The 27834-nt window shown below is 41.3% G+C and overlaps 1 protein-coding gene and 1 pseudogene across 34 annotated transcripts in view, besides 4 other annotated features; one reads left to right on the top strand and one right to left on the bottom strand.

The window, feature by feature from the left end:
* The window catches only part of PDE4DIP (phosphodiesterase 4D interacting protein), a 224583-nt gene that overhangs the window by 21173 nt on the left and 175576 nt on the right, over positions 1 to 27834 (top strand). For 18 of the 34 annotated variants that reach the window (NM_001350522.3, NM_001395305.1, NM_001395304.1 and 15 more), the window contains exon 1: positions 14903 to 15188. The exons of 15 other annotated variants lie outside the window; for them this stretch is intronic. In NM_001350522.3, coding sequence (NP_001337451.1) covers positions 15169 to 15188 — 20 coding nt within the window. In that variant the 5' untranslated portion in view covers positions 14903 to 15168. Of the gene's footprint in view, positions 1 to 14821; positions 15189 to 27834 lie in introns of those variants that run through there. One more of the 34 variants, NM_001395426.1, reaches the window with a different exon arrangement.
* Positions 6601 to 7101: an enhancer, noted in NCBI's record as "H3K4me1 hESC enhancer chr1:145047676-145048176 (GRCh37/hg19 assembly coordinates)". NCBI's record gives its function as "activates a minimal SCP1, AML or CMV promoter by ChIP-STARR-seq in primed H9 embryonic stem cells {active_cell/tissue: H9 hESC(primed)}" and the evidence as "EXISTENCE:reporter gene assay evidence [ECO:0000049][PMID:30033119]".
* On the bottom strand, positions 9877 to 10126 carry RN7SKP88 (RN7SK pseudogene 88; annotated as a pseudogene).
* Positions 14271 to 14992: an enhancer, noted in NCBI's record as "H3K4me1 hESC enhancer chr1:145039786-145040507 (GRCh37/hg19 assembly coordinates)". NCBI's record gives its function as "activates a minimal SCP1, AML or CMV promoter by ChIP-STARR-seq in primed H9 embryonic stem cells {active_cell/tissue: H9 hESC(primed)}" and the evidence as "EXISTENCE:reporter gene assay evidence [ECO:0000049][PMID:30033119]".
* Positions 14993 to 15715: an enhancer, noted in NCBI's record as "H3K4me1 hESC enhancer chr1:145039063-145039785 (GRCh37/hg19 assembly coordinates)". NCBI's record gives its function as "activates a minimal SCP1, AML or CMV promoter by ChIP-STARR-seq in naive and primed H9 embryonic stem cells {active_cell/tissue: H9 hESC(naive and primed)}" and the evidence as "EXISTENCE:reporter gene assay evidence [ECO:0000049][PMID:30033119]".
* Positions 25505 to 26006: an enhancer, noted in NCBI's record as "NANOG hESC enhancer chr1:145028802-145029303 (GRCh37/hg19 assembly coordinates)". NCBI's record gives its function as "activates a minimal SCP1, AML or CMV promoter by ChIP-STARR-seq in primed H9 embryonic stem cells {active_cell/tissue: H9 hESC(primed)}" and the evidence as "EXISTENCE:reporter gene assay evidence [ECO:0000049][PMID:30033119]".

The following is a 27834-nucleotide window of genomic DNA, read 5'->3' on the forward strand; positions in this document are numbered from 1 at the left end:
TTTCAGATGAATGGGACCTTAGGCACTCACTCACAGGAGACCGGGAATATTTTTCCTTCTACCAGAGAAAAATAAAATTGTTTTCATCAATACTGTTTTTAAGTTAATTTTTTAATTGACAAATAGTAATTGCATATATTTATGGGGTACAATGTTTTGATATATGCGTATACTGTGGAATGATGAAAACAAGCTAATAATATTTTTTAATTTTAAATAAAAGCACTGTATTTTGCAATCCCAATGTATGATAAAATTTTATATTGCTAGCATACTTCAGTACTCTACTCAGATGCTACCTTCTTTAGAAAAACTTTTCTGGTGGAATTTAATTAATCACTCCCTCCTTCATGTTCTGCTTGGTGTAGCACTTTACCCGATCTGGTTTGTATTATGGTTTGATGAATGCTTGCCTGGCTTTCCACACTAGATTTTAACACTGGATTTCTACACTAGATTTTAGCAATGCCTAGCACATGCTCTGTGTTTGTTTAATTAAATGAATGAAGGTAACCACACTGTCCTTGAGTTTTACCAACTGTGGAAATAAAATTAAGTCCCATGAGCATTAGCTGCCTCTGAACTCCTACCTGTTCACTTAGGAAATTAAGTCCCTTACAAATTCCCCTGTACCCCACAAATACTTCTGCTTTTTCCAAGAATTATTTTCTCTTCTAAACTGCTCCTGGTCCTGATTTTGGTTGTTCCGAGTCACAGCTGGCACTTTGCCTACTATGTATAGTCTTCAGAGCCACACATCCTCCTCCAAACCCTCCTGCCCCATTCCACTCCAGCTACTGAAGGGCAGATCTTTTCATTCTTTTTTTTTTTTTTTTATACTTTAAGTTCTAGGGTACATGTGCACAACATGCAGGTTAGTTACATATGTATACATGTGCCATGCTGGTGAGCTGCACCCATTAACTCGTTATTTACATTAGGTATATCTCCTAATGCTATCCCTCCCCCGCCCCCCCACCCCAAACAGGCCCCAGTGTGTGATGTTCCCCTTCCTGTGTCTATGTGTTCTCATTGTTCAATTCCCACCTATGAGTGAGAACATGCGGTATTTGGTTTTTTTGTCCTTGTGATAGTTTGCTGAGAATGATGGTTTCCAGCTTCATCCATGTCCCTACAAAGGACATGAACTTATCATTTTTTATGGCTGCCTAGTATTCCATGGTGTATATGTGCCACATTTTCTTAATCCAGTCTATTATTGATGGACATTTGGCTTGGTTCCAAGTCTTTGCTATTGTGAATAGTCCCTCAATAAACATACGTGTGCATGTGTCTTTATAGCAGCACGATTTATAATCCTTTGGGTATATACCCAGTAATGGGATTGCTGGGTCAAATGGTATTTCTAGTTCTAGATCCCTGAGGAATCACCACACTGACTTCCACAATGGTTGAACTAGTTTACAGTCCCAACAATGTAAAAGTGTTCCTATTTCTCCACATCCTCTCCAGCACCTGTTTTTTCCTGACTTTTTAATGATCGCCATTCTAACTGGTGTGAGATGGTATCTCATTGTGGTTTTGATTTGCATTTCTCTGATGGCCGGTGATGATGAGCCTTTTTTCCTGTGTCTGTTGGCTGCATAAATGTCTTCTTTTGAGAAGTGTCTGCTCATATCCTTCGCCCACTTGTTGATGGGGTTGTTTGTTTTTTTCTTGTAAATTTGTTTGAGTTCATTGTAGATTCTGGATATTAGCCCTTTGTCAGATAAGTAGATTGCAAAAATTTTCTCCCATTCTGTAGGGCCTGTTCACTCTGATGGTAGTTTTCTTTGCTGTGCAGAAGCTCTTTAGTTTAATTAGATCCCATTTGTCAATTTTGGCTTTCCTTGCCATTGCTTTTGGTGTTTTAGACATGAAGTCCTTGCCCATGCCTATGTCCTGAATGGTATTGCCTAGGTTTTCTTCTAGGGTTTTTATGGTTTCAGGTCTAACATTTAAGTCTTTAATACATCTCGAATTAGTTCTTGTATAAGGTGTAAGGAAGGGATCTAGTTTCAGCTTTCTACATATGGCTAGCCAGTTTTCCCAGCACCGTGTATTAAATAGGGAATCATTTCCCCATTGCTTGTTTTTATCAGGTTTGTCAAAGATCAGATGGTTATAGATATGTGGCATTATTTCTGAGGGCTCTGTTCTGTTCCATTGGTCTGTTTTGTTTACCAAAAATCTCTGTTTTGGTACCAGTACCATGCTGTTTTGGTTACTGTAGCCTTGTAGTATAGTTTGAAGTCAGGTAGCGTGATGCCTCCAGCTTTGTTCTTTTGGCTTAGGATTGACTTGGCAATGCGGGTTCTTTTTTGGTTCCATATGAACTTTAAAGTAGTTTTTTCCAATTCTGTGAAGAAAGTCATTGGTAGCTTGATGGGGATGGCATTGAATCTATAAATTACCTTGGGCAGCATGGCCATTTTCACGATATTGATTCTTCCTGTCCATGAGCATGGAATGTTCTTCCATTTCTTTGTATCCTCTTTTATTTCATTGAGCAGTGGTTTGCAGTTCTCCTTGAAGAGGTCCTTCACATCCCTTGTAAGTTGGATTCCTAGGTATTTTATTCTCTTTGAAGCAATTGTGAATGGGAGTTCACTCATGATTTGGCTGTTTGTCTTTTACTGGTGTATAAGAATGCTTGTGATTTTTGCACATTGATTTTGTATCATGAGACTTTGCTGAAGTTGCCAATCAGCTTAAGGAGATTTTGGGCTGAGATGATGGGGTTTTCTAGCTATACAATCATGTCATCTGCAAACAGGGACAATTTGACTTCCTCTTTTCCTAATTAAATGCCCTTTATTTCCTTCTCCTGCCTGATTGCCCTGGCCAGAGCTTCCAACACTATGTTGAATAGGAGTGGTGAGAGAGGGCATCCCTGTCTTGTGCCAGTTTTCAAAGAGAATGCTTCCAGTTTTTGCCCATTCAGTATGATATTGCCTGTGGGTTTGTCATAGATAGCTCTTATTATTTTGAGATATGTCTCATCCATAACTAATTTATTGATAGTTTTTAGCATGAAGCGTTGTTGAATTTTGTCAAAGGCCTTTCTGCATCTATTGAGATAATCATATGGTTTTTGTCACTGGTTCTGTTTATATGCTGATTACGTTTATTGATTTGCATATGTTGAACCAGCCTTTGCATCCCAGGGATGAAGCCCACTTGATCATGGTGGATAAGCTTTTTGATGTGCTGCTGGATTCGGTTTGCCAGTATTTTATTGAGGATTTTTGCATCGATGTTCATCAGGGATATTGGTCTAAAATTCTCTTTTTTTTGTTGTATCTCTGCCAGGCTTTGGTATCAGGATGATGCTGGCCTCATAAAATAAGTTAGAGAGGATTCCCTCTTTTTCTATTGATCGGAATAGTTTCAGAAGGAATGGTACCAGCTCTTCCTTGTACCTCTGATAGAATTCGGCTGTGAATCCATCTGTTCCTGGACTTTTTTTGGTTGGTAAGCTGTTAATTATTGCCTCAATTTCAGAGCCTGTTATTGGTATATTCAGAGATTCAACTTCTTCCTGGTTTAGTCTTGGGAGGGTTCATGTGTCGAGGAATTTATCCATTTCTTCTAGATTTTCTAGTTTATTTGCGTAGAGGTGTTTATAGTATTCTCTGATGTTAGTTTGTATTTCTGTGGGATCGGTGGTGATATCCCCTTTATCATTTTTTATTGCATCTATTTGATTCTTCTCTCTTTTCTTCTGTATTAGTCTTGCTAGCGGTCTATCAATTTTGTTGATCTTTTCAAAAAACCAGCTCCTGGATTCATTGATTTTTTGAAGGGTTTTTTGTGTCTCTATTTCCTTCAGTTCTGCTCTGATCTTAGTTATTTCTTGCCTTCTGCTAGCTTTTGAATGTGTTTGCTCTTGCTTCTCTAGTTCTTTTAATTGTGATGTTAGGGTGTCAATTTTAGATCTTTCCTGCTTTCTCTTGTGGGCATTTAGTGCTATAAATTTTCCTCTACACACTGCTTTGAATGTGTCCCAGAGATTCTGGTACATTGTGTCTTTGTTCTCGTTGGTTTCAAAGAACATCTTCATTTCTGTCTTCATTTCATTATGTACCCAGTAGTCATTCAGGAGCAGGTTATTCAGTTTCCATGTAGTTGAGCGGTTTTGAGTGAGTTTCTTAATCCTGAGTTCTAGTTTGATTGCACTGTGGTCTGAGAGACAGTTTATTATAATTTCTGTTCTTTTACATTTGCTGAGGAGTGCTTTACTTCCAACTATGTGGTCAATTTTGGAATAAGTGCGGTGTGGTGCTGAGAAGAATGTATATTCTGTTGATTTGTGATGGAGAGTTCTGTAGATGTCTATTAGGTCCACTTGGTGCAGAGGTGAGTTCAATTCCTGGATATCCTTGTTGACTTTCTGTCTCGTTGATCTGTCTACTGTTGACAGTGGGGTGTTAAAGTCTCCCATTATTAATGTGTGGGAGTCTAAGTCTCTTTCTAGGTCTCTAAGGACTTGCTTTATCAATCTGGGTGCTCCTGTATTGGGTGCATATATATTTAGGATAGTTAGCTCTTCTTGTTGAATTGATCCCTTTACCATTATGTAATGGCCTTCTTTGTCTCTTTTGATCTTTGTTGGTTTAAAGTCTGTTTTATCAGAGACTAGGATTGCAACCCCTGCCTTTTTTTGTTTTCCATTTGCTTGGTAGATCTTCCTCCATCGCTTTATTTTGAGCCTATGTGTGTCTCTGCATGTGAGATGGGTTTCCTGAATACAGCACACTGATGGGTCTTGACTCTTTATCCAATTTGCCATTCTGTGTCTTTTACTTGGAGCATTTAGCCCGCTTACATTTAAGGTTAATATTGTTATGTTTGAATTTGATCCTGTCATTATGATGTTAGCTGGTTATTTTGCTTGTTAGTTGCTGCAGTTTCTTCCTAGCCTTGATGGTCTTTACAATTTGGCATGTTTTTGCAGTGGCTGGTACCGGTTGTTCCTTTCCATGTTTAGTGCTTCCTTCAGGAGCTCTTTTAGGGCAGGCCTGGTGGTGACAAAATCTCTCCGCATTTGCTTGTCTGTAAAGTATTTTATTTCTCCTTCACTTATGAAGCTTCATTTGGCTGGATATGAAATTCTGGTTGAAAATTCTTTTCTTTAAGAATGTTGAATATTAGCCCCCACTCTCTTCTGGCTTGTAGAGTTTCTGCCAAGAGATCCGCTGTTAGTCTGATGGGCTTCCCTTTGAGGGTAACCCGACCTTTCTCTCTGGCTGCCCTTAACATTTTTTCCTTCATTTCAACTTCGGTGAATCTGACAATTATTTGTCTTGGAGTTGCTCTTCTCAAGGAGTATCTTTGTGGCATTCTCTGTATTTCCTGAATTTGAATGTTGGCCTGCCTTGCTAGATTGGGGAGGTTCTCCTGGTTATTATCCTGCAGAGTGTTTTCCAACTTGGTTCCATTCTCCCTGTCACTTTCAGGTACACCAATCAGACGTAGATTTGGTCTTTTCACATAGCCCCATATTTCTTGAAGGCTTTGTTCATTTCGTTTTATTCTTTTTTCTTTAAACTTCTCTTCTTGCTTCATTTCATTCATTTCATCTTCCATCACTGATACCCTTTCTTCCAGTTGATCGAATCGGCTACTGAGGCTTGTGCATTTGTCACGTAGTTCTCGTGCCTTGGTTTTCAGCTCCATCAGGTCCTTTAAGGACTTCTCTGTATTGGTTATTCTAGTTAGCCATTGGTCTAATTTTTTTTCAAGGTTTTTAACTTCTTTGCCATGGGTTCGAACTTCCTCCTTTAGCTCGGAGTAGTTTGATTGTCTGAAGCCTTCTTCCCTCAACTTGTCAAAGTCATTCTCCATCCAGCTTTGTTCCATTGCTGGGGAGGAGCTGCGTTCCTTTGGAGGAGGAAAGGCACTCTGATTTTTAGAGTTTCCAGTTTTTCTGCTCTATTTTTCCCCATCTTTGTGGTTTTATCTACCTTTGGTCTTTGATGATGGCGATGTACAGATGGGGTTTTGGTGTGGATGTCCTTTCTATTTGTTAGTCTTCCTTCTAACAGTCAGGACCCTCAGCTGCAGGTCTGTTGGAGTTTGCTTGAGGTCACTCCAGACCCTGTTTGCCAGGGTATCAGCAGCGGAGGCTGCAGAACAGCAGATACTGGTGAGCAGCAGATGTTGCTGTCTGATCGTTCCTCTGGAAGTTTTGTCTCAGAGGAGTTCCCGGCCATGTGAGGTGTCTGTCTGCCCCTACTTGGGGGGGGCCTCCCAGTTAGGCTACTTGGGGGTCAGGGACCAACCTAAGGAGGCAGTCTGTCCATTCTCAGATCTCAAGCTGTGTGCTGGGAGAACCACTACTCTCTTCAAAGCTGTCAGACAGGGACATTTAAGTCTGCAGAGGATTCTGCTGCCTTTTGTTTGACTATTCCCTGCCCCCAGAGGTGCAGTCTACAGAGGCAGGCAGGCCTCCTTGAGCTGCAGTGGGCTCCACCCAGTTCGAGCTTCTGGGCTGCTTTGTTTACCTACTCCAGCCTCGGCAATGGCAGGTGCCCCTCCCCCAGCCTCGCTGCCGCCTTGCAGTTCGATCTCAGTCTGCTGTGCCAGCAATGAGGGAGGCTCTATGGGCGTAGGACCCCCCCGAGCCATGCACGGGATATAATCTCCTGGTGTGCCGTTTGCTAAGACTGTTGGAAAAGTGCAGTATTAGGGTGGCAGTGACCCGATTTTCCAGGTGCCGTCTGTCACCCCTTTCTTTGACTAGGAAAGGGAATTCCCTGACCCCTTGTGCCTCCCGGGTGAGGTGATGCTTCGCCCTCCTTTGGCTCATGCTGGGTGCAGTGCACCCACTGTCCTGTACCCACTTTCTGACACTCCCCAGTACCTCAGTTGGCAAGGCAGAAATCACCCGTCTTCTGCATCGCTCACGCTGGGAGCTCTAGACTGGAGCTGTTCCTATTTGGCCACCTTGGCTCCACCTCAGATCTTTTCATTCTTGTATATACAACAGTTTACTTGGACAGCCTGGGTAGTCAGGAACATCCATCCAAGCCACACTTCTGCCTATTAGGTTCCTCTGTTGTGCTAAACAACAATTTGAATTTATAAATTCTATTGAACAGTGTTTCATCAAGTGAAACTCCAGTTTCATTGTACCTAGGAACTTGCTTCTCTTACTGCCTATTATTTAATCTTTCTAAGACTCTGTTTTCTCTTCTATAAAAAGAGGGTTGTCTTGCTGGGATGCTCCCTTGACATGCTTCACTTATCTTTATCGCCCTTATCACCATCTGGCATATTGTAGTTATTCCTTTACTTATTATCTATCTAAACCAGTAGATTGTAAGCTCCATGAAAACAGGGTCTTTGCTGGCCTTTTTTTAAACTACTGTGTCTCTAGAATAAAGAGTAGTGCCTGACACATAATGGTTCACAGTAATTATTTATTGGATGAATGAATGAGATAATGCATCAAAAATACTGTGTCCATTTTAAGGCATGGTCTCAGTTGTCTATTCCTGCATAAACAATCTACCCCACAATTCAGTAGCTCAAAACAACCATTTTATTGTATCTTATGATTTTGTGGGTCAGTAATTTGGACAGGTCTCAGCTGAGCAATTTGTTTTCCCCATGCAGTATTGACTGGGTCACTTGCTGGTATTCAGTGGAAGGCAGGGCTGCTCTGGAGGTCCCAGGTAACTTCACTTATATTGTGTGCCTGATGCCTTTGAGGACTGCTGGTGGCCTCAAGACCTCTCCTCTCTATAGCTCCAGCAAGGTAGTCAGATTTCTTTCATGGCAGCTCAGTATATCAAGAGGCCTACTGGAAACTGCAAGGTTTCTTATTGCCCAGGTTCAGGAGTTTATGGCCTAGAACTGCATTCTATTGGTCAAGCAAGTCATGAAGACCAGCTTAGATCCAAGAGAGGGGAATTAGATTCTACCTCTGAATAAGAGAAGTAGCAAAAAATTTGTAGCCATCTTGAATCTACCACATTCCTTTTCCTCTGGCCACAGACATTATTACCACAAGCAAAATAAACTCACACTCTCCTAAAGCCCTCAAAAGTTTCCTGACATTTACTGCATCAGCCTAGAAGTCCACTTTCTCACCATCTAACTCAAATTCAGGTGATCATGAGGCTCCTGGCACTCAGCTCCTTGAGTATAGTTCCCCTTGATCTGAAGTCACTGGGGCTCTCACACCCAAGAAACAATGGGACAGAGATAGGATAACCATAATAGGCACTCCCATTCGAAGAGTCAGAGAACACAGGCATACAGCGGTCAGTAGTCCACAGCAATTTTGAAATCTAGCTGAGTACATATTACCAGTTCCTTGATTAGGGCCCAGTCCTGCTCCTGGGAATGATTCCCTCTGGCTATCCATCAGTCCTCTGGGCTCTTGGTTCCATTCTTTGAGCCGTTCTTCTTTTTCCCTAAGAAGTAATCCTTGTTTTTGGCTGGGTAACTTTCTCAGCCTGCTTCTCTGAGGCAGGTTGAGGGTCCAAAGGCATCTTTTCACTTTGTACTCTCTTCATCCTTTTCAGTCAGTCCATGCTGGTATAATTCACTTAAAAATGTTAAGGCGTCTTATATACTAATTGATAACGAACTTTACTAGGCAAAAGCCACACCCACATTTCATTCTGAAGCCAGCTTTTTCACCTTGCTTGGACTAACTGTGAGTCTGACATGGGATAACAGAACCTTAAAATTCTTAGAAACTCTTTTGTCCAATGGAGAGGTACATTGCCCAAGATTGTAGAAGGCTTTTTGTTTAACTGAAAGGATATATGAGGCACCACCTTAATTGAGGTCTTAATCATGGGTCTAGCTGTCACATCTTGGAATTTATTTTTGCCCTGAAGCCATTTCTTATTTTGAAAGCTTTCCCTGTCTAGAGAGATTGAGGATGAGAAGCAGTTTGATGTTTGAACCCAGCAAAGTCTACGGCCATGCCACCCTGAATGCACCCGATCTCTTCTGAACCCAGCAAGTCCTGCCTCTTTATAATTCCTCTAAATTCTGCTTAAAAACCAAATGGCTCCTTTTTTAGCCCACTTTTTTTTCTTTTTTTTTTTAATCAATATCTTATAATAATGTGGCTAAAAGAAACCTCTTTGTAGTTTTGAAATTCTGCTGAAAATCTCCTTAGCCAGATCCTCCCATTCATTGGGCACCTTTTCTATTTTCCCACATTATCAAAGACGAAAACTTTCTGCCACTACATAACACAGGTCATTTCTTCAGCCACCCCCCATAGTATTTTCTTTACTGTCCTTCAGTCTCTCCAGCAGTCTCCTCGATGTCCTTCCAATATTCACTAACATTTTTCTCGAGGCCTTTCTAACTTCTGTGGCAACCAGGTACAAAGTCATTGCCATTTGTTTTCAGTTTTCGTTATAGTGAAAGTCCACTTTCAGATACCAAATTTAGTTCCAGTTATCTATTGTTACTTAGTAAACTACTCCAAAACTTAGCACAATAAGCAATTTATTGTATCTCATCATTTTGGTAATCAATAATTCTAGCATGGTTCAGCAGGGCAAATTTATTCCATAGTGGCCACAGTTAGGGTTGCTCAGTTGTGTCCAGCTGATGGGAGACTGCTTCACACATAATGCCTGGCACCCTGATGGGAACTGCTGGTCGTTGTGCTCAGCTAGGCCCCTCCCCTTGTCATGTGGTCTCATGGCCTCTGCACGTGGTTTATCTAGCATGGTAGTTTGACTTATCCAGCAGCTTAGGCCTTAGAAGACATGTCCCAAGAGTCTCACATGGAAGCTACAAGGCTTCTTACTTACCTAGCCTGGCCAGTCAGACATCTCTTCTGCTGTATTCTATTAGTCAAGTAAGTCTCTAAGGGTAGCCCATATTAAAGGGAGGAGAATTAGATTCCACCTCTCAATGGGAGAAGTAGCAAGTAATTTGTGGTCATCTTTAATCTACTACAGACACTGTATCCTTGATCTCAGAATGATGCCTCTTTGTCTGGAAAGGGCATTTGTTTTTTAAGCCCAAGGTTAGAGAGACAGACATGGAGCTGTGATGGATCAAGAAGACATCATGTTCTGACTAACCAGGTGATCACAGGGATCACTGAAGTGACAGATGTTGCAGACATATTGTCCTCCTATCTAAGTCCCAGCCAATGTTACGTGTCAAAATTAGGGAAGCAGTACGCAAAATGGTTAGGCAGGCCATTCTGAAACAAAACTGATTGGTTTCAAATCTCAGCTTTGCCATCAATCAGCTTTGTGAATGTGGGCAGTATAATTTACCTCCCTGTGCTCCACATTAGTCATTTGTAAAGTGGGCATTAACTAGAGCCTACCTCAAAAGACTGCTGCGAGGATGAAAAGAGTTAGTATACACACAATTGTTAGAGGAGGATCTGGCAAAAATATATTAGACATAGCTATTTTTATTATTGATGTATAGATTATGCAGTAAACTATATCAACATCAATAATCCTTTTTACCCAGAAACAAGTTGGAGAGAAGAAAAGGAAAATGAATTTTAAAAACTGAATGAAAGGTAAAAGTATCATTGGAATATTTGGAGCTGACTGTAAAGACTGTGACACCTTCCGATTTTTTGTCCCTTATCATCAATTCAGGTATTCCCTGAAGCACAATCAGTTGACCAAACTAAGAGCAGTGCCCTCAGGAAAGAATAAAATGAATAGTTTAATTTATCAACATCATTTACCCAGGTTATTTGAGTTCTTTTTATTTATTTTTTTTTTTGAGACGGAATCTCGCTGTCGCCCAGGTTGGAGTGCAGTGGCGCGATCTCGGCTCGCTGCAGGCTCCGCCTCCCAGGTTCACGCCATTCTCCTGCCTCAACCTCCCGTGTAGTTGGGACTATAGGCGCCCGCCACCTCGCCCGGCTAATTTTTTGTATTTTTAGTAGAGACGGGGTTTCACCGTGTTAGCCAGGATGGTCTCGATCTGCTGACCTCGTGATCCGCCCGCCTCGGCCTCCCAAAGTGCTGGGATTACAGGCGTGAGCCACCGCGCCCGGCCGGTTATTTGAGTTCTAAGCCAGAAAACTGAGAGCAGACACACACATAACGATACTTGGTTGCAAAATGGAAATAAAAAGCAATGTGTTAGGATAGGCTAGATTATGCTCCAGTAATAAATAATCTCCAAATCTCAGTAACTTAATACAACAAAAATGAATTTCTTGCTCATTCTACATGTTCAATTAGGGTTAGCAGGAAGGCTCTGACCATCACAGTAACTCAGGGACTTAGGTTGATGAAAGCTTCATCTTATTGATCTTCAAGGATCAATAAAACAGCGGAAACTGAAAAGGGCCAATTATGTACTAGCTCTTAAAAATGTCTGCGTTCTTCCCAGAAGTGACCACATGAGACTTCCTCTCACGTTTCAGCCAACGAAACAAGTTACATTTCACTGTTCAAAAGTCATAGCTAAGTTAAAATGGGATGAGGAAGAATAAAGTTACCATGTATCTACAAGGAGAAAAGCTTAACAAAAAGCAAGAAAGCAGCACATACAGTGACTGGTGGATTGCATTATTGTTCCACAAATATTACTCTCCCCTCCTGCACTCTGTGGGCAGACTGTACTTTTCTGCACCAATGACTTTGGACTTGGCCATGTTACTTACTTTGGTGAACGGAAAATGGCAGAAGCGAGACTGTGCCAGTTCTGAGCAGAGACCAGTCATCATGAGTCTCTGCCAACTCTCTTGCACTCCTGCACTCTGCCATGAAAATGACAGACTTAAACCAATCCATACCTAAACTATAGATCCTTGAGGGAGAAATGGATGTGTGTTGTATAATACTGAGATTGGGGAGTTCTTTGTTGAGCAGCATTGTTTCAGCAAAAAGATGACTAATACAGTGACTCAACACAAGGATTTCATGAGACTGGCTACTACACATATGGTTTCCAAGAAAGGATATGAAATAAGACCTTACTAGCTAGTATTCTAAGAAACGTAAAGCAAAATGAGATGGTGTTACATTATTAGTATACTAGCTAGATATAGAACTAAAATATAACTATCCAATTATTTACAAATTAAATAAGAAAAAAAATAAAAGGAGAATTTCTAGTGCTTTTGAGGCTAAGATAATAAAATTAGAAAGTCCTTTTATCCCAGGAAAATCGCCTTTAGTCCATTCCTGCTGCTATAGCAAAATAGCTTAGACTGGGTAATTTGTAAATAATAGAAATTTATTTCTCACAGTTCTGAAGGCTGGACCAAGATCAAGGTGCTGGCAGATTCAGTGTCTGGAAGAGCTTGCTCTCTGCTCCCAAGATGGCTCCTTGTTGCCACAGATGCTGTGTCCTCACATGGCTGGAGGGACAGAGGACAAAAGGGACCAGAGCAATCCTTTCAACCTCTTTTTTAAGAGCACTAATCCCATTCATGAGAGTGGAGTGTTCATGCCTTATCACTTCCTAAGACATATTCCTAAAAGGCCCCACCCTGTAGTACTATAACACTCGGTGTTAAGTACCAATGTATGAATTTTGAAGGCATACATACATTCAACCATAGCATAATTCAAAAAAGGAGAATGATAAAGGCAGAAAGCTCTTCATTAAGGCATTATTTATAACAGTCTAATATCAGAAACAGCATAACTATGCAATAGTAGAATATTTTAAGTAATCTATGGTCCTACTAATATTATAAAATATTGTACACTCATTAGAATAATAACTATGAACTTTCCCTAAAAACATGGACAAATATTTACTAAGTGAAAGAAGGAGAATATAAACATATACCTAAGCTGTAATCGTAATTATGTAAATAGATATTTAATATATATAGATAATGACTAAAGGGAATTTGGAGAAATTTAAACATTTGTGCTGTAGCAGTGGTTATATGGGTGAATATTTTTCTTCTGAAATCTAACGCAAAAAAATTGTTCTTTTGACAATAAGTATAATTTTTAAAACAACAAGGAAATTTCTCTTCTCAAGAATATACCCATGTGTGTAAGAAAGAGTTGGTGTTTGGATTAAAAGATGCATTTTTTAAAGAGTGGGAAAAAAATGCAACACATTTTTAATATTGAAGATCCCTGGGTATTCTGAGTAATCTATATAACTTTCTGTATTTTTCAAATGTTTTTACAATGAATGTGCTATAAACTTTTGAAAAAAGTTATTTTAAAAATACATGAACGTATTTTCTAGCGTCACTTCTGAGACCCCACAGCTCACCTAGTTAGTGCTATCATTTCTTGAATCCAGTGAGCTGCCTGTAGACAGAGTTCCTCTCCACAACTCGGTAGCCCATAATTTGATTTGAGACAAAGCTAAATATAGCCCCAACTTTGGTATGAAGGATGGGAATCTGACTCTCCCTGCCTTTTCTTCCCCCCCATCAGAGGCAACAGGATATTCTTTTCAAGACAGGTGGCCTGTGAGCCTTGTCTAAGATCAAACTGGACCTTGAAATTTTTCCTGGTAACATTTTGAGCTCTGGAGCAGTGTGGTCCTACCAATAAATCAAGTGTTGGAGGAGTCTAGACTAGGGGCTTTTTAGACAGTTCTGCTAAACCTTCAAATGTTTTGTTATCCTCCCCTCCCCACCCCTACTTTGTACTAGTATGTAGGGGAACCAATCCAAGAGATAACAGACAGATGACAGGTTCCCCCAAGAACACAGACTCCCCACAGTCTCACCAATACCCAGGCATGCCAGGTTCTTCCTGAGTTAAATGCCTAGGAGGCCTGAAAGAATAAATTCATCCTGGAGAAGTCTTGTGGGTCGTAGCTTTAGAAATTCAGGGAACATATCTCTGGGGCCACCCAATGGAGAACACAGCCTGTATCAGAACCTTAGCAGAGACTTTGGGCCTTTTGGGGTCTCAAATTTATCATCTCTGAAACAAGTACAACGAAATTAACATTGCCACATGTGGGCACTATAAAGCCTTTTTCAGATAAAAAAAAAGGTCAGTGATAGTGCTAATAATAACAGTGATTATGTCATTTAATAAAACGGTCTTATTTGAAAGCTAAAAAGGAGCTTCAGGGTGGCAAGCACTCTAATTATAGTATGTCTGCCTTGTTTAAATCTTGATACATAAGTACATGGTACAGGGCCTGAGGCAATGCCATCTCCAAAGAGGCCTTTTCCATGATCTTAAAACAGTCACAAGGGAGTGTCGAGGTCCTGATGGCTACTGTCTTGAGGCTTTTCTAGTGTTCTGGGAGTCAGGAAGCTTCTCCCTCCTTGAAGCTATTGGTAGAGCCCAGTTGCTGGCGAAACTGAAAAACGAGGAGGTAGAATACCCTAAAACAGGAGATGTCTGGGATACAGGCAGCTAATAGGGCTGTAAGGTTTTGTTGGGATGCTTCCCTTCCTGATGAAGGGTCCTGTCCCTGGATTAATGGTGAAACTGGCATGTCACATCTCTAGGAAGACAACATCGTGTTCCATGACCACGTAGGGTATACATCTGCATTCAGCCGGGATTGCTCCTAAACCTTCCTAGACTCCATCTCTGGCTCTGGGGTTACCTGTGGGTGGGGCGATGCAGACACACAAGAAAACCTCCTCTACAAATTCTTCCTGTAGTTGGTTGATTGTATTCTAAGACCTTCGTTGGGATGGGCGAGGGACGGGGCTTGGTACCGCGTCCTCTAAGCTCTCTGCCCTCTGCCGTCATCATTCATCTGAGCCAGCGAGAGAGGGGTCGGGGAGACGCGAGGGTGGTTCAGGGGGCGTGTAACCTGGGCCGATTCTGCCCCAGCACACTGGTTGTCGGGAGCCCCGCCTCCGCTCGCGGTTGACAGCTCAGCTGGTGCCGAGCAACTCGTGCCAGCCAGTCGTGTCTCAGCCTGGAGAGTGCGCGCACCGCGGCCCGGGCAGCCGCTGGCTCCAGCTCACGAAACAGCCCCGGGCGCCGCGCCGCTCTGAGTCCAGCCTCCTACTGAGAACAGTCCCTCCCTTGTGCGGGTCGCACGGCTAGCCGCAGGTTCGGCCACGTCAAATCCATTTTCTAAAAAAGCAGGGAGCAGAGCTCTCTCTTCGCCGCCGACGCAGAAAGGAGCTGGGGAGGAAAAAGCTGCTGCCTTTTGCGCTGGAGATTCGTGGGCAAGGCTTCTCATTTTCCCAGGCTGCTTCCCCTCCCGGGTGAGGAGCGTCCTGAGACTAAGGAAAGAGCCTGGAAAATGGAGCAGACCTGGACGAGGTAGGTGGGCTGTTTCCTTCTCGCCGCGCTCCAGACTTGGTGGTCCTCCTCCCTCCCCTCCCCCAGCGCCCTTAGGGAGAGAGAGGTCGCCCCTCACCACCAGGGTCCCGTGACAGCTTCCCTTTTCTGTAGCCTCGCCCTGCCTGGTTCCCAGCCCACCTCTCTTGGTCATTTTCACATGTTCTGTTTTACGGGGTTTCCCTTGCTTAATGACTCTCCCCTCCACCGAGTCCTGATGTTAAAAATACCCAGGGAGGCCGCCTGGAACTTTCTGTAGAAATGGTTCTCTGTCGTTTCCTTGTTCGTGTGGCTAGAGGGATTCCAGTAGGTCTTCTTGAGAGATATGTTTGATGTCAGATGCTTTGAACAATATCAGGTTTATTCTCACCCTGCCACGTTTTCCTTCTCAGCCTCATCTGTCACTACTCACACAAAGGCAAAGGGACTGAGTGAGCAGAGCCCAGCAGCACTCATCTCCACAACCTCCAGTTGGAGCCCACTTGGGGGAGGAATGGAGAAGGAAAGAGATCAGGGCACCACACTGCTCAGGCTTTATTGAGGCCAGGCAACAGTTGGCTTTTAGGTCAGATTTTGGAGATGGCCTGTGAAACTGCGTTTTCTTCCAGTCCTTCCCCCAGACACACTTTAAAATGAAGCCCCATTCAAGGAAAGGGTAAGGATAAGAGACCATGTATTGAGACAAAGACTTCGTTTCTGTTTTTTAGTGGGTGGGAGGGTAGGGAGACTATTCCAGCGGTGTCTCTATAACAGATACGCTTCCATCTGTGGGATTTAGCTTTGGAGAATTGGGGTGGGGCCAAATGAGCGCTCTGACTCCTGAGAGAGTGAAGACGGTACAAACACAGAAGGTAAATTTGGGGCTTATGCAAAAGACTTGGGTGCTTTTAGTTGATTGCTAAGCTCAACAGGAGTGAATGGTATAATGTGAATATTAAAGAAGGAGCAAATTGAAGCTTAGGGTTTGTTGACAGAAGAAGTAGGCTGTCTAGATTCTGTCTAGATCAAAAGTGATGATTTTACTTTTGGCTCCTTTCTGCTCCTCTTGGGCCTCTCCGAGAGGGCTGTGCTTAGTTCTGGGCATCATTAGATAAAATAAGTACAATCAAGAGACAGGAGGGAACTCAAAGCCATGCCTTGAGGGATGGCCAAAGGAAGGACCTGGGACTCCTGAGTCCGGAGAAATGACGACTGGGAGTGGGGAGGATGTGGTAGCTTCCTTCAAATTTCCGAAGAGCTATTGGTGGTAGAGGGATTGAATCACATTAGAATCTCTTAGGAGGACAGAACAACCGATGCAAGCGAGTTGTTGGGAGGCGAGTTATGGCTCAGTGTAAAGAAAAAGCTTTCTGGCCAGGTGCAGTGGCTCATGCCTGTAATCCCAGCACTTTGGGAGGCTGAGGCAGGCGGATCACCTGAGGTCGGGAGTTCGAGACCAGCCTGACCAACATGGAGAAACCCCATCTCTACTAAAATACAAAATTAGCCGGGCGTGGTCGCACGTGCCTGTAATCCCAGCTACTCCGGAGGCTGAGGCAGGAGAATCGCTTGAACCCGGGAGGAGAAGTTTGTGGTGAGCCGAGATCAAGCCATTGCACTCCAGCCTGGGCAACAAAAGCGAAACTCCGCCTCAAAAAAAAAAAAAAAAAAAAAAAAAAAAAAGACCAGGCGAGGTGGCTCACGCCTGTAATTGCAGTACTTTGGGAGGCTGAGGGGGGCGGATTACGAGGTCAGGAGATTGAGACCATCCTGGCTAACACAGTGAAGCCCCGTCTCTACTAAAAACACAAAAAAAATTAGCCGGGCGTGGTGGCGGGCGCCTGTAGTACCAGCTACTTGGGAGGCTGAGGTAGGAGAATGGCGTGAACCCGGGAAGCGGAGCTTGCAGTGAGCCGAGATCGCGCCACTGCACTCCAGCCTGGGCGACAGAGCGAGACTCCGTCTCAAAAAAAAATTAAAAAAAAGCTTTCTAACAAGTTAGCTGCCTGGGCAGTATGGGCAGTAAAGAGATTGTTGACCCTGGAGTTACTCAGGCAAAGGCTAGATGACCACTTGATGGTGATGGGAGTGAGTGTATCAGGGCCTTTTGCTCTCTGCCAGTGTTTTTCACACTTGAAGAAAAAAGTATTATTTATTAAGTTTTAAAAATTTTATATTTACATGTAACAATTTCAGACAAATTCAGAAATGATTTGGAAAAATCGCAAATTATATATTTACAGTCCAATTAATTTGACAAACTGAGTATACTCATGGGATGGGCATTCAGATAGAGAAAGGGAACATTACCAGCATCCCTGAAGCCCTCCTGATGACTTCAAGGATAATCATTATCCTAATTTTTAACACCATAGAATAATTTTGCCTAGTTTTGAACTTTATGTAAATGAAATTATACACCATGTACTCTTTCGTACGTGGCTCCTTTCACTCAATCTTTTGCTTTTGGAGTTCTATACTGTTATATGGTACTGTAGTCCATTTATTCTTGCTTTTAAATAGGCTTCTATAGTGTATAAATATATCAAATTTATTTGTCCATTCTATTCTTAATAGGCACTTGGGCAATTTCCAGTTTGGAGCTATTATAAACAGTGTTGCTATGAACATTTCTGTACAGGTCTTTTGATGAACATATGTACACATTTCTGTTGAGTAAATAAGTAGAAGTATGATTTCTGCGTAATAGGAAATGCATGTTCAGATTTAGTAAATACTGCCAGATTGTTTTTTTTTAAACAGATTACAAAAGAGATTTCTAAAGCGGGTATCCAGGCCAGGCGCGGTGGCTCACGCCTGTAATCCCAGCACTTTGGGAGGCCGAGGCGGGCGGATCACGGGGTCAGGAGATCGAGATAGTCCTGGCTAACACGGTGAAACCCCGTCTCTACTAAAAATACAAAAAATTAGCCCGGCGTGGTTGCAGGCACCTGTAGTCCCAGCTACTCGGGAGGCTGAGGCAGGAGAATGGCCTGAACCTGGGAGGCGGAGCTTGCAGTGAGCCGAGATCGCACCACTGCACTCCAGCCTGGGTGACAGAGCGAGCCTACATCTCAAAAAAAAAAAAAAAAAAAAAAAAAAAAAAAAAAAAAAAAAAAAAAAAGAGGGTATCCAAAGGGAAGAACATAGTGAAAAGGTGCTCCACATCACTAGTTATCAGGGAAATGCAAATTAGAACCACAACACCATGCTGCTATATACATATCAGAATGGCTGAAATTAAAAAGATAGAAAGTAGCAAATGCTGGCAAGGTGGACCATTCAGAATGTTCACATATTTTTTAACCACTACTCACAATAAGTAATATATTTACATTGCCACCAAGTACTCTTACATATGTAACAAAGTTTCTTGTAACAATACTTAACTTTACTATGTGTTTTGCACTCTGATATTTGCTATTCTATTCTTTTTCTTTAAAAATAAAATGTTGGCTCTGATTCACTGAATTTATTTCTCCACCTAATGGGTCACAGTTGGAAAAATCCTATAATCACAGATCATGGCTGACATCTCAGATCCTTCCTAACTCACAGATCAGATTAGTTCATAAACACTTATTAAAAATTTGAGGGCCGGATGAAATGGCTCACGCCTGTAGTCTCAACAGTTTGAGAGGCCAAGGCAGGTGGATGACTTGAGGTCAGAAGTTCGAGACCAGTCTGGCCAACGTGCTGAAACCCCATCTCTACTAAAAATACAAAAATTAGCCGGGTGTGGTGCCTGCACCTGTAGTCCCAGCTACTTAGGAGCCTGAGGCAGGAGAATCCCTTGAACCCGGGAGGCGGATGTTGCAGTGAGCTGAGATTATACCACTGCACTCCAGCCTGGGTGACACAGTGAGACTCTGTCTCAAAAATAAATAAATAAATAAATAAATTTTGAGAGCCCCAAACAGGTCAGACGCTGTGCTAGATGCTAAGAATAAAACAATGAATGCAATGAATGAGACTGGGTCTCTGCCTTTAATGGCTTTACATTGTCATCATCTATAATTTTAATAGAGAGACACTAAGGCAGAGATACGCAGTGGCTGCTCTGGGTACACAGTGGATAGGGGATTGAAAGAATAAAAATTAACCATAATTGATAACATTTATTAAGCTTTAATTGTGTGCTAATCTCTTTGAATACTTAATTCACCTAATCCTTACAACCCTATGAAGTAAATGTTATACTCATTTTTAAGAAAAGGAAATTGAGCTTCAGAAAGATTAAATAATTTTCCCAGAGTGACACACACAGCCGAGAAAGAAATATAGCCTTGAACTGTTTCATTCCAAAATCTATGCTTTTACTTTATTTTAGTAGAGTTTTGTAGGTGACTCAGTTTATGACTTGTTTCTGAAGCTAGCTACTTGCTCAATTTACCCACAAAGGACAAGGTGCTTGGTATTTTAGTTCTCAAAGTTAGATATGCTCTACTCCCAGCTACACATCATCTGCCCCTCTACAGCTCAATGGAAAGGTTCCCCCTACCCGCTGGGGCCGTTACCTGACTGTTGCCAAACTCACTGGTTAAATCATTTGGACAGAGCATGGTTGGCTCTGGAATAGCAAATTTTCTATGAATATACTGGCATTACAAAAAGCTGATTTGGTCACCAGCTTTCAGATTTATTTCCGTGAACAGGGCGAGAGTTGTCAAAAGAATAAGCTCATGGAGCTGATGAAGAACTTGATGATGAGGGGAGGTTTTCTCACCCGGCAGGTCCAGTGTCAACCAGGCAAACAGCTTCTACTGCTCTAAATTTTTAGCATCCACCTGTCTGGACTAGCAACTCCCTACACCTTCTGCTTTAAAGATTATCAGTACTTCAGGATTACTGTTTGTATTAATTTCCTGTTGCTGGTGTAACAAATCACCACAAACTTTTTTTTTTTTTTTTGAGATGGAGTCTCACTCTGTTGCCCAGGCTAGCGTGCAGTGGTGCAATCTTGGCTCACTGCAACCTCCGCCTCTCAGGTTCAAGGGATTCTCCTGCCTCAGCCTCCCAAGTAGCTGGGATTACAGGCACATGGCACCACACTCAGCTAATTTTTGTATTTTTAGTAGAGACGGGGTTTCACCATGTTGGCCTGGCTGGTCTCAAACTCCTGACCTCAAGTGATCCACCCGCCTTGGCCTCCCAAAGTGCTGGGATTACAGGTGTGAGCCACTGCGCCCAGCCAAATCACCACAAACTTAGTGGCTTAAAACAATACAAATGTATTGCCTTAAAGTTCTGGAGGTCAGAAGTCTGAAATTTGGTCTTCTAGGTTAAAACCAAGGTATCAGCAGGACTGTGCTCCTTCTAGAGGCTCTAAAGGAGAATTTGTTCCTTGCCCTTCATGGCTTCGAGAGACTGCCCACATTCTGGGTTCATAGCCCCTTCCAGCAATGCCATCACTGGCCTCTGCTTCTATCATCACATCTCCTTTGATCATTCTGACCCTCCAGTGTCCCTCTTACTAGGACCCTTATGATTACATTGGACCCAACCAGATAATCCAGGATAATCTCCTCATCTCAAAATCTTTAGTCACATCTGCAAAGCCCTCTCTTGCTATGGAAAGTGGCATATACACAGGATCTGGGGATTAGGAATGTGGACATTCTTATAAGGCCATTATTTTAGCCTACCACATCGTTCAATGCTGAAAAAGTCATTACTAATTATCTTCCCCATTTCAGTGGAAATGTTCTGGTTTCTAGCATATGAGAAAGCTGAGTAAACATCAGGTGAATCATATATGAACCTTATACAACTTCCCCGAACACATAACTCAAGAAAAGAGTGAACTAGAAATGTTTAAGGGCAAACTATAAGACTGAAGGTTAAAAAAGGAAAGCAAATTAGTCTGTTTTGTTTTGTTTTCTATTCCCCTGCAATTTGATTTAATAAAATGCAAGCATTAATTGCATTTGCTTGCTGTATCTGTGAAAATTTGGAAAATGGAAGTAACATTCAAGAAAATTAATGATCTGGTTTCAAAATTTAAGAATTTTGACTTTGTTTCTTTTCTGGAGTACAGCCTTCAAGCAAGACAAGGTGTCCATTTACCACAGCTATATTGTACTTAACAGATCTCCATTGATAGCTTATTTGAATTTGTTTTTCTCTATATAAATGTTTAGCCTAGAGGAATCAGGGACATTTATTTTTCTCTGAATTTATGGTGAGTTAGTAGAGAGTCCTGTTTACAAAGACATAGTTACAACCAGAGATATATGGCCACTGAGGTTAAAGTGGTTAAATGATTTGCTGGCATTCACACAACTAGTATGTGTTGTATGAAGGCCTAGTTAATTCCAGTACCTTTACTTATTATGGTGCTGGTGCTTTGCATGTAACACTTCATATTAGGAAAATGCTTGTTTTCAGAATTCTATTATTGAAACATCTTTGGAAGTTGAATTTCCTGTTTAATATTCAGCACTGCTAGCAACTAATTATCTGAATTTTAAGAAGGAAATTCTGCCTTGGCAACTCCAGTCTACTTTTAAATGGGCCTATACTTGGATTTCGGCTTGGGGAATTTGCCAGAATCAATGCTTTCACTCCTACTTGCTTATTTTCCACACACTAGATCAGTCTGGACCTGACTCCCCCAACCCCCATTTTTTCAGCTACATGCTAAGACTATGTTTAAAATACCTAAAGACTGGGAAGGGGTTGTTTTTGTCTCAGAAAGGATAAGTAACACCTCATGGTGCCGTCCCCATCCTGGGAGGCTCGCCTGACTGTGGCTGAGGGATCATATTTTCAAGGCTAAGTGGAGCATCCATCCATTCAGTGGATGCCCCAGGACACTACTTCTATTGAAATCTACCCCATTTTATAAATAAAATTCCAAACTGGGCTCAGAACATTCCACAAGCTGTCTCTGGCAAAAATTCAAATAGCATTTAAAGTTAGAAGAAAGTCCAGAATACAAGAGATGTCATATTGACCCAAGGTGGCTCTATGTGATTCTATTTTAAAACACTCAAATGCACTGAGGACTTGTTTTCCTCTGCCTCAGAGCATTTTCTGAGTTCTGTGGCCAGCAAGACAAGCATGATCTGAATTTCTTTTTTCTGAACGCTTATGGCTAAAGTGCTAAATTAGTCATAGACTATTTATAATAAATTGTATAATAATACTGTTTTATTTTCATAGCACTTTCACAGCCTGTGATTCATCTTTCCTTAATCTGTCTCATTATCTTCAGTCCTTTTCTGCTTGTTACATTCCACAGAAACGTCTTTCTTTCTTGTCTTTTCCAAGGCCAGTGAGGGAAGAGGTAACTTGCAACTAGTGTCTTCTTATCATGGTCATGGTGGAAAGGGTGGAAAGAAGCAATAACTTCTGACATATAGAAAGCATTCACTGGCCAGGCACAGTGGCTCTCGCCTGTAATCCCAGCACTTTGGGAGGCCAAGGCAGGAGGATCACTTGAGGTCAGGAGTTCGAGACCAGCCTGGCCAACATGTTGAAACCCCATCTCTACTAAAGATACAAAAATTAGTGGGCATGGTGGGGGGTGCCTGTAATCCCAGCTAATCGGGAGACCGAGGAATGAGAATTGCTTGAACCCAGGAAGTGGAGGTTGCAGTGAGCCGAGATCACACCACTGCACTCCAGCCTGGGTGACAGAGCAAGACTTTGTCGGAAAAAAAAAAAAAAAAAAAAAAAAAAAAAAAACTAGAAAGCATTGACTCACAAAGAAAATTGAATAATTTCTAGCATTTCACACAATTTAAGAATGAATTTATTTTCCACTTCATAATGTGGTATATTATCATTCATAATGTAGAATAACATGCTGTGGATTTACAGTGTCTTTTAAATCATTACGCCTAACCCAAAGGATGTAGACTTCCAATTTTTAACTATTATAAATAATACTTGATAAATGTCTAGGTGCATAAAGCATCTTCTTCCACAGCATTATTTTTTGAATGAGAGATGTTCAGAAGTAGAATAACTATGTCAACATTTCCAGTTCTTGAAAGTACATTGCAAATTACTTAAAGTTATAGTCCCATAAGAAAGATATTGCATTCAATTTAAATATCTTTTTCAAGACCTGAATCCCTGTATTGTAAAGGGGGAAACTGAGGCACACTGACATTAAAGTGGCATAACCTAGGTGAATCAATAGCAACATTTCCAACTTTTACCCTTCTCTAGGGTAAAATGCTTCACTGTTGCTGTTAATCTCTATTACTATCCTGAAACGTTTCCTGAAATGATAATAAACAGAAAATTTTAACATAAGAAAGTAAAAGATAGATGTAAATTACATCAAAACTATGTATACCTATTAGGATGTCTATTACAAGGACAGAGAAAAGAGAAAATAGATGCCTTGTTTGGTTAGGGGATTATGGGCAACATCCTTTATATGCTGCTTTTAAACTAAGTCAACATAGGTTTTTATTGCAGGAAGAAGTTCACATTTGTGTCTACCAAATGACAACATGTAAAGTTTGGAATTGAGTTGGTTTTAGGTTTTTCTGTGTATCACTTGGAGGTTTTCTGTGTATAACTTTCTTGTATTACTTGGAGATTTTCAGGTTATTGGCACCACAGGAGCAGCATTATTGCCAGCAGACCCGGGGAGCTGGTTGGAGAGTCATTGCGACTTAATTTACCCTGAGCTAAAATTATTATGAGTGGGCCTTAATATACCAGTTGTTCCCACCTACACATCTAGCCTTGCCTTTGCTGGGATAAATTTGTATACCCTTCAGAGGTTAGATTCAGAAGTACCTCCTTTAGGAATTATTTTTAGAACCTAGATCTGGGTGTAGCCAGAACACGCTCTGCCTACTCTGTTGTAGCATGTAGCTAGTTGGTTAACTTGATATTTTCCATACTCCAAGTTTATCGGCAGAATGAAACGTTTTTGTCTATAAGTCTTCAGCATCTAACATTGCCTCTAGCACTTAGAAGGTCATCTATTAAGAGCTTTCCAGAGAACATTCCCCAAAAGGCCGATGGGAATATCTGTTTGGTGGGTGTCTCCTTATTGTAGAATGGATACAACAGGTTATCAAACTTGACACCATTATACATTCAGATTGTATTTATCATTGTTTAAGAAATATGTGTCTTGTTTCCTCAGTTACGGGAAAAGAAAAAAAAAAGAAATACGCATCCAATTCCTATGATCTAGACTTCTTTAATGCTGGACAGATGATAGTGAATGATCTAAAAACCCTCCCTTCCAGAGACTGACATTCTAGAGGGGTCACTAGGCATGGACATACATCACTGTTATACCTTGACCTGACATAGCCTTAACTCGAATTCACTTCAGTATGCTATCAGCACAGCCATCTTTTGTAGCTCATCTTTCTTCCAGATTTTCCACCCTTAGGATCCTTAATGCTGAAATTATACTTCTTGACCACAGGTCAAGTCCCCCACTTCCTCATTCTTTCTGAATGTTGTTTACTGCGTCATGTATTCCAGTTCCTCAACTCTCTGTATCTTCCAGGCCATCTGCTGTTTATTCACCTCCATACTGAACCTAGACGTCAGAGTCAGCTCTTTGAATCGTGTTCTCAACGCTGCTTTAGAATCTCTAACTGCCTTAACCATCTCCCGGCTTGGTAACCCTTAGTCAATTTTATTTTAAAATCCTAGAGGATTCTATGAGTGTTGTTTTAGTATGTTATAAAACCGCACTGAGAAGAGAGACTCTAGATTCATTCTTGCTAATCCTCAACAGGTCTATAATGCTGCTGAGAAATTCTCCTCCTCCTCCCACCTGCCTCTTTCTCCTGCTCCTCCTTCCCTGACTCTTTCTCTTCCTCTAAAAATATATTCCTCACAACCTTTGATTTCCGTAGTGTAAATAAAAGCAAGATGCAGAACTGTTACATTCAATATTATTTCCATTTGCAGAATTCACACAGGCAAATAAACTGAAGAACAACTAAATACATACAAATCTTTATCAATGTTGCCTTCAGGTGGTAGAATTTTAAAGATTATTTTTATTTTTCTCTGTACACTTTTCTCTTTTCCAAAATTTCTACGAGGCATGTACTTCTTTTAAAATCATCAAAAATAGACATTGTAAAGAAAAGAAACTGAAAGATTATGTGAATATAAAAGTAGGTGGAAAGGGGAAAAAAATCACCTGTTTCTTAACATTCAGTCTAGGGCTCTAGAAAGATTGAGCCAACTGCAATATACTCCAGTGCCTTGTGGATATTAGTTGTTAATGAAAACTGAGGATTGTAGGGTGCATTGCCAGGACCAAAAGCAAAATGCAAAAGGTAAGTTTCAGAGGTGGGTGGAGAGACCATACACCATCCCTGGGGTAATGTGACTGAATCCAAAGCAGGTTATTTTCATGTCTTCTTTTGAAAGAGTGATACCTATGTCTTGGCTGATGCAGGGGAGGTAGAGGAAAATTTATTAGATATTTGGATATGTGATGACCTCAGAAGGTAAAGTGAGGAAAAATAATTACTTACTTATTAAGGGGTTTCTCTGAACCTTGATGGATAGCATCAAGAAAGTAATGTTAGTTTCCTTATTTTCTTTAGGATGAAGACTTAGTGCTGGACCAAAAACAAAACAAAACAAAGATCCCGAAACTTAAAGAAATTGTTGTGGATGCACGATGATTTTGTAGCTCACTGTAGCTATTGGGGACTTAGCACTCCAGAAAACAGCCTCTCAGAGTGATGGTCACTGTCAGTGAATAGACTTTGAGTGAAGGGTGTAATTGCAGCCTATACTGGAATAAAGTGGATGTTTCTGTATCGGTGCCAAGTCAGCCCACACTTAGTCAGCATGCAGAAGGAGGCTCACCGTGATGCTCTCTCTCCTCTGGGAGCTTTGCCAATTAAGCATCCTCACTTGCAGAGGTTATAATGATAGATCTTGAGATGAGAAAAAATGATAATTTCACTGTATTATATAATAGTCTTAACGTTCTGCATCTGGGGCTTTTACCCTATTTGCATTTGAATATGTGTTTTTACAATTCGGGTGCCACATTGTGGGAGGGTATTTGGCAACATTTGGAACATAGAAAATATATCCAGTGTCTCTCCTTGGCAAGAGGAAAAAAACACATCTGAGAAGTCTCAGAGCTTGTTCACTAATGCCTTTTCCACTTTGATTGTTTCTGTTTCCACCACCTTTCCCGCGTTTCAGTTTATTCCCTTGGGTAGGGACAATGCCAAGTGTTAACACGGGAGGGGTTGGAGAAAGATGTAAATATTCTGAAAAAAGTGGGTTAGAGATAGAGAAGTATAAAATGATGGATGACTCACTTTTCACGATAGGACCTATATAAAAAGTCACACTAGCCACTTCCGTTTTGGGATTTTAATTATTTTGTCACATGGCATCTGTTACACCAGTACTCAAATACTCAAGTGTAAGCTGTGCCCATCAGGGATAAGTTGATAGTCTAAGAAACAAATTTGTGTCAGGGTTTGAGACAAAAATCCCATCTCATCAGCACAGCAAACCGTCCACCCTTCCTTTCGCCTCAGCTTCTCAGGGGTGAGTTCCCTGGAGTCAAGGCAGGTACAAAGGAGGTTCCCTGTAAATGTGTGGTTAGAAATAGGGCATATTGGGAAGAGTAAAAGTTTGGAGTCAAATAGACAGTTTTCAAGTTCAGGCTCTGACACCAACTAGCTGTGCGATCTTGGGCAAATTACTTTATCCTTCCAGGCCCCTTGTTTCCTCATCTGTAAACAGGGATTGTATGACGTACTTCACAGGATTCTATGATGACTGAATGAACTGATGCCTAGAAAGTATCAGGCATTCAGTAAATTGCAGAGGCAGCATTGGTGGTGAGTGGTGATGGTTGTCCATGATAATAATATGTTCATTTAATACAAGATTAGTATTGAGGAAAATTCCAGTGCAAGAAAACCTGTGGAATTATAAAATTATGCACCAGCAGTCCAGAAATTGTTAACTGTAGATGTCTTTGTTTTTAAGTTGACACTATTTCTAAAATCTTACCATTTATAAACTGTCAGGGCCAGAGCTTCCCATATTAAAAAATAGGCCACAGTTCTTCTCATTCTGACCCTTTTGTGTTTGCCACAGTTGAATATAGCTGTAAATTAAAAATAGGAAAAATGCATCTTGGAACGTTTGAAAAATTTATTTCATTTGAAACAGAAACCAGCAACTCTTCTTAAATGAGCTCCAAGAATATGGGAATTGGAACACAATCTGCATTTGGTTCAATGCCTACTCCTGTGAGGACCCCAAGAAAGAGCAAACTTCAGCAGTCTTGCTGTCATGCCACACGCCCCTCACTGTTTGAGAGGCCACACCGAGCCGAATCCTTTCCATAGTTATCTTTTATCAAGGTCATTAATTAGGAAGAGCAATGTAAATTCAATAAAAATAGATTATTCAAACTTTTTAAAAATAAGAATTAGCCTTTTGGCAAAAATAGTAAGAAAAAAAGGGGGAGGATGCTCAGTATATTTTCCGCCACTCTAAACCTCCGGACTTTTTATTTCTCTGCGTTCTTTTCTAGTTTGTTTCTATGGGTATTTTCACAATAGTGCAAATCTTAGCCCCTTTCTTTTTTTTTTTTTTTTTTTTGAGACGGAGTCTCGCTCTGTCGCCCAGGCCGGACTGCGGACTGCAGTGGCGCAATCTCGGC

The sequence above is a fragment of the Homo sapiens genome, chromosome 1 (genome assembly GCF_000001405.40).
Source record: "Homo sapiens chromosome 1, GRCh38.p14 Primary Assembly".
Lineage (NCBI taxonomy): Eukaryota > Metazoa > Chordata > Mammalia > Primates > Hominidae > Homo > Homo sapiens.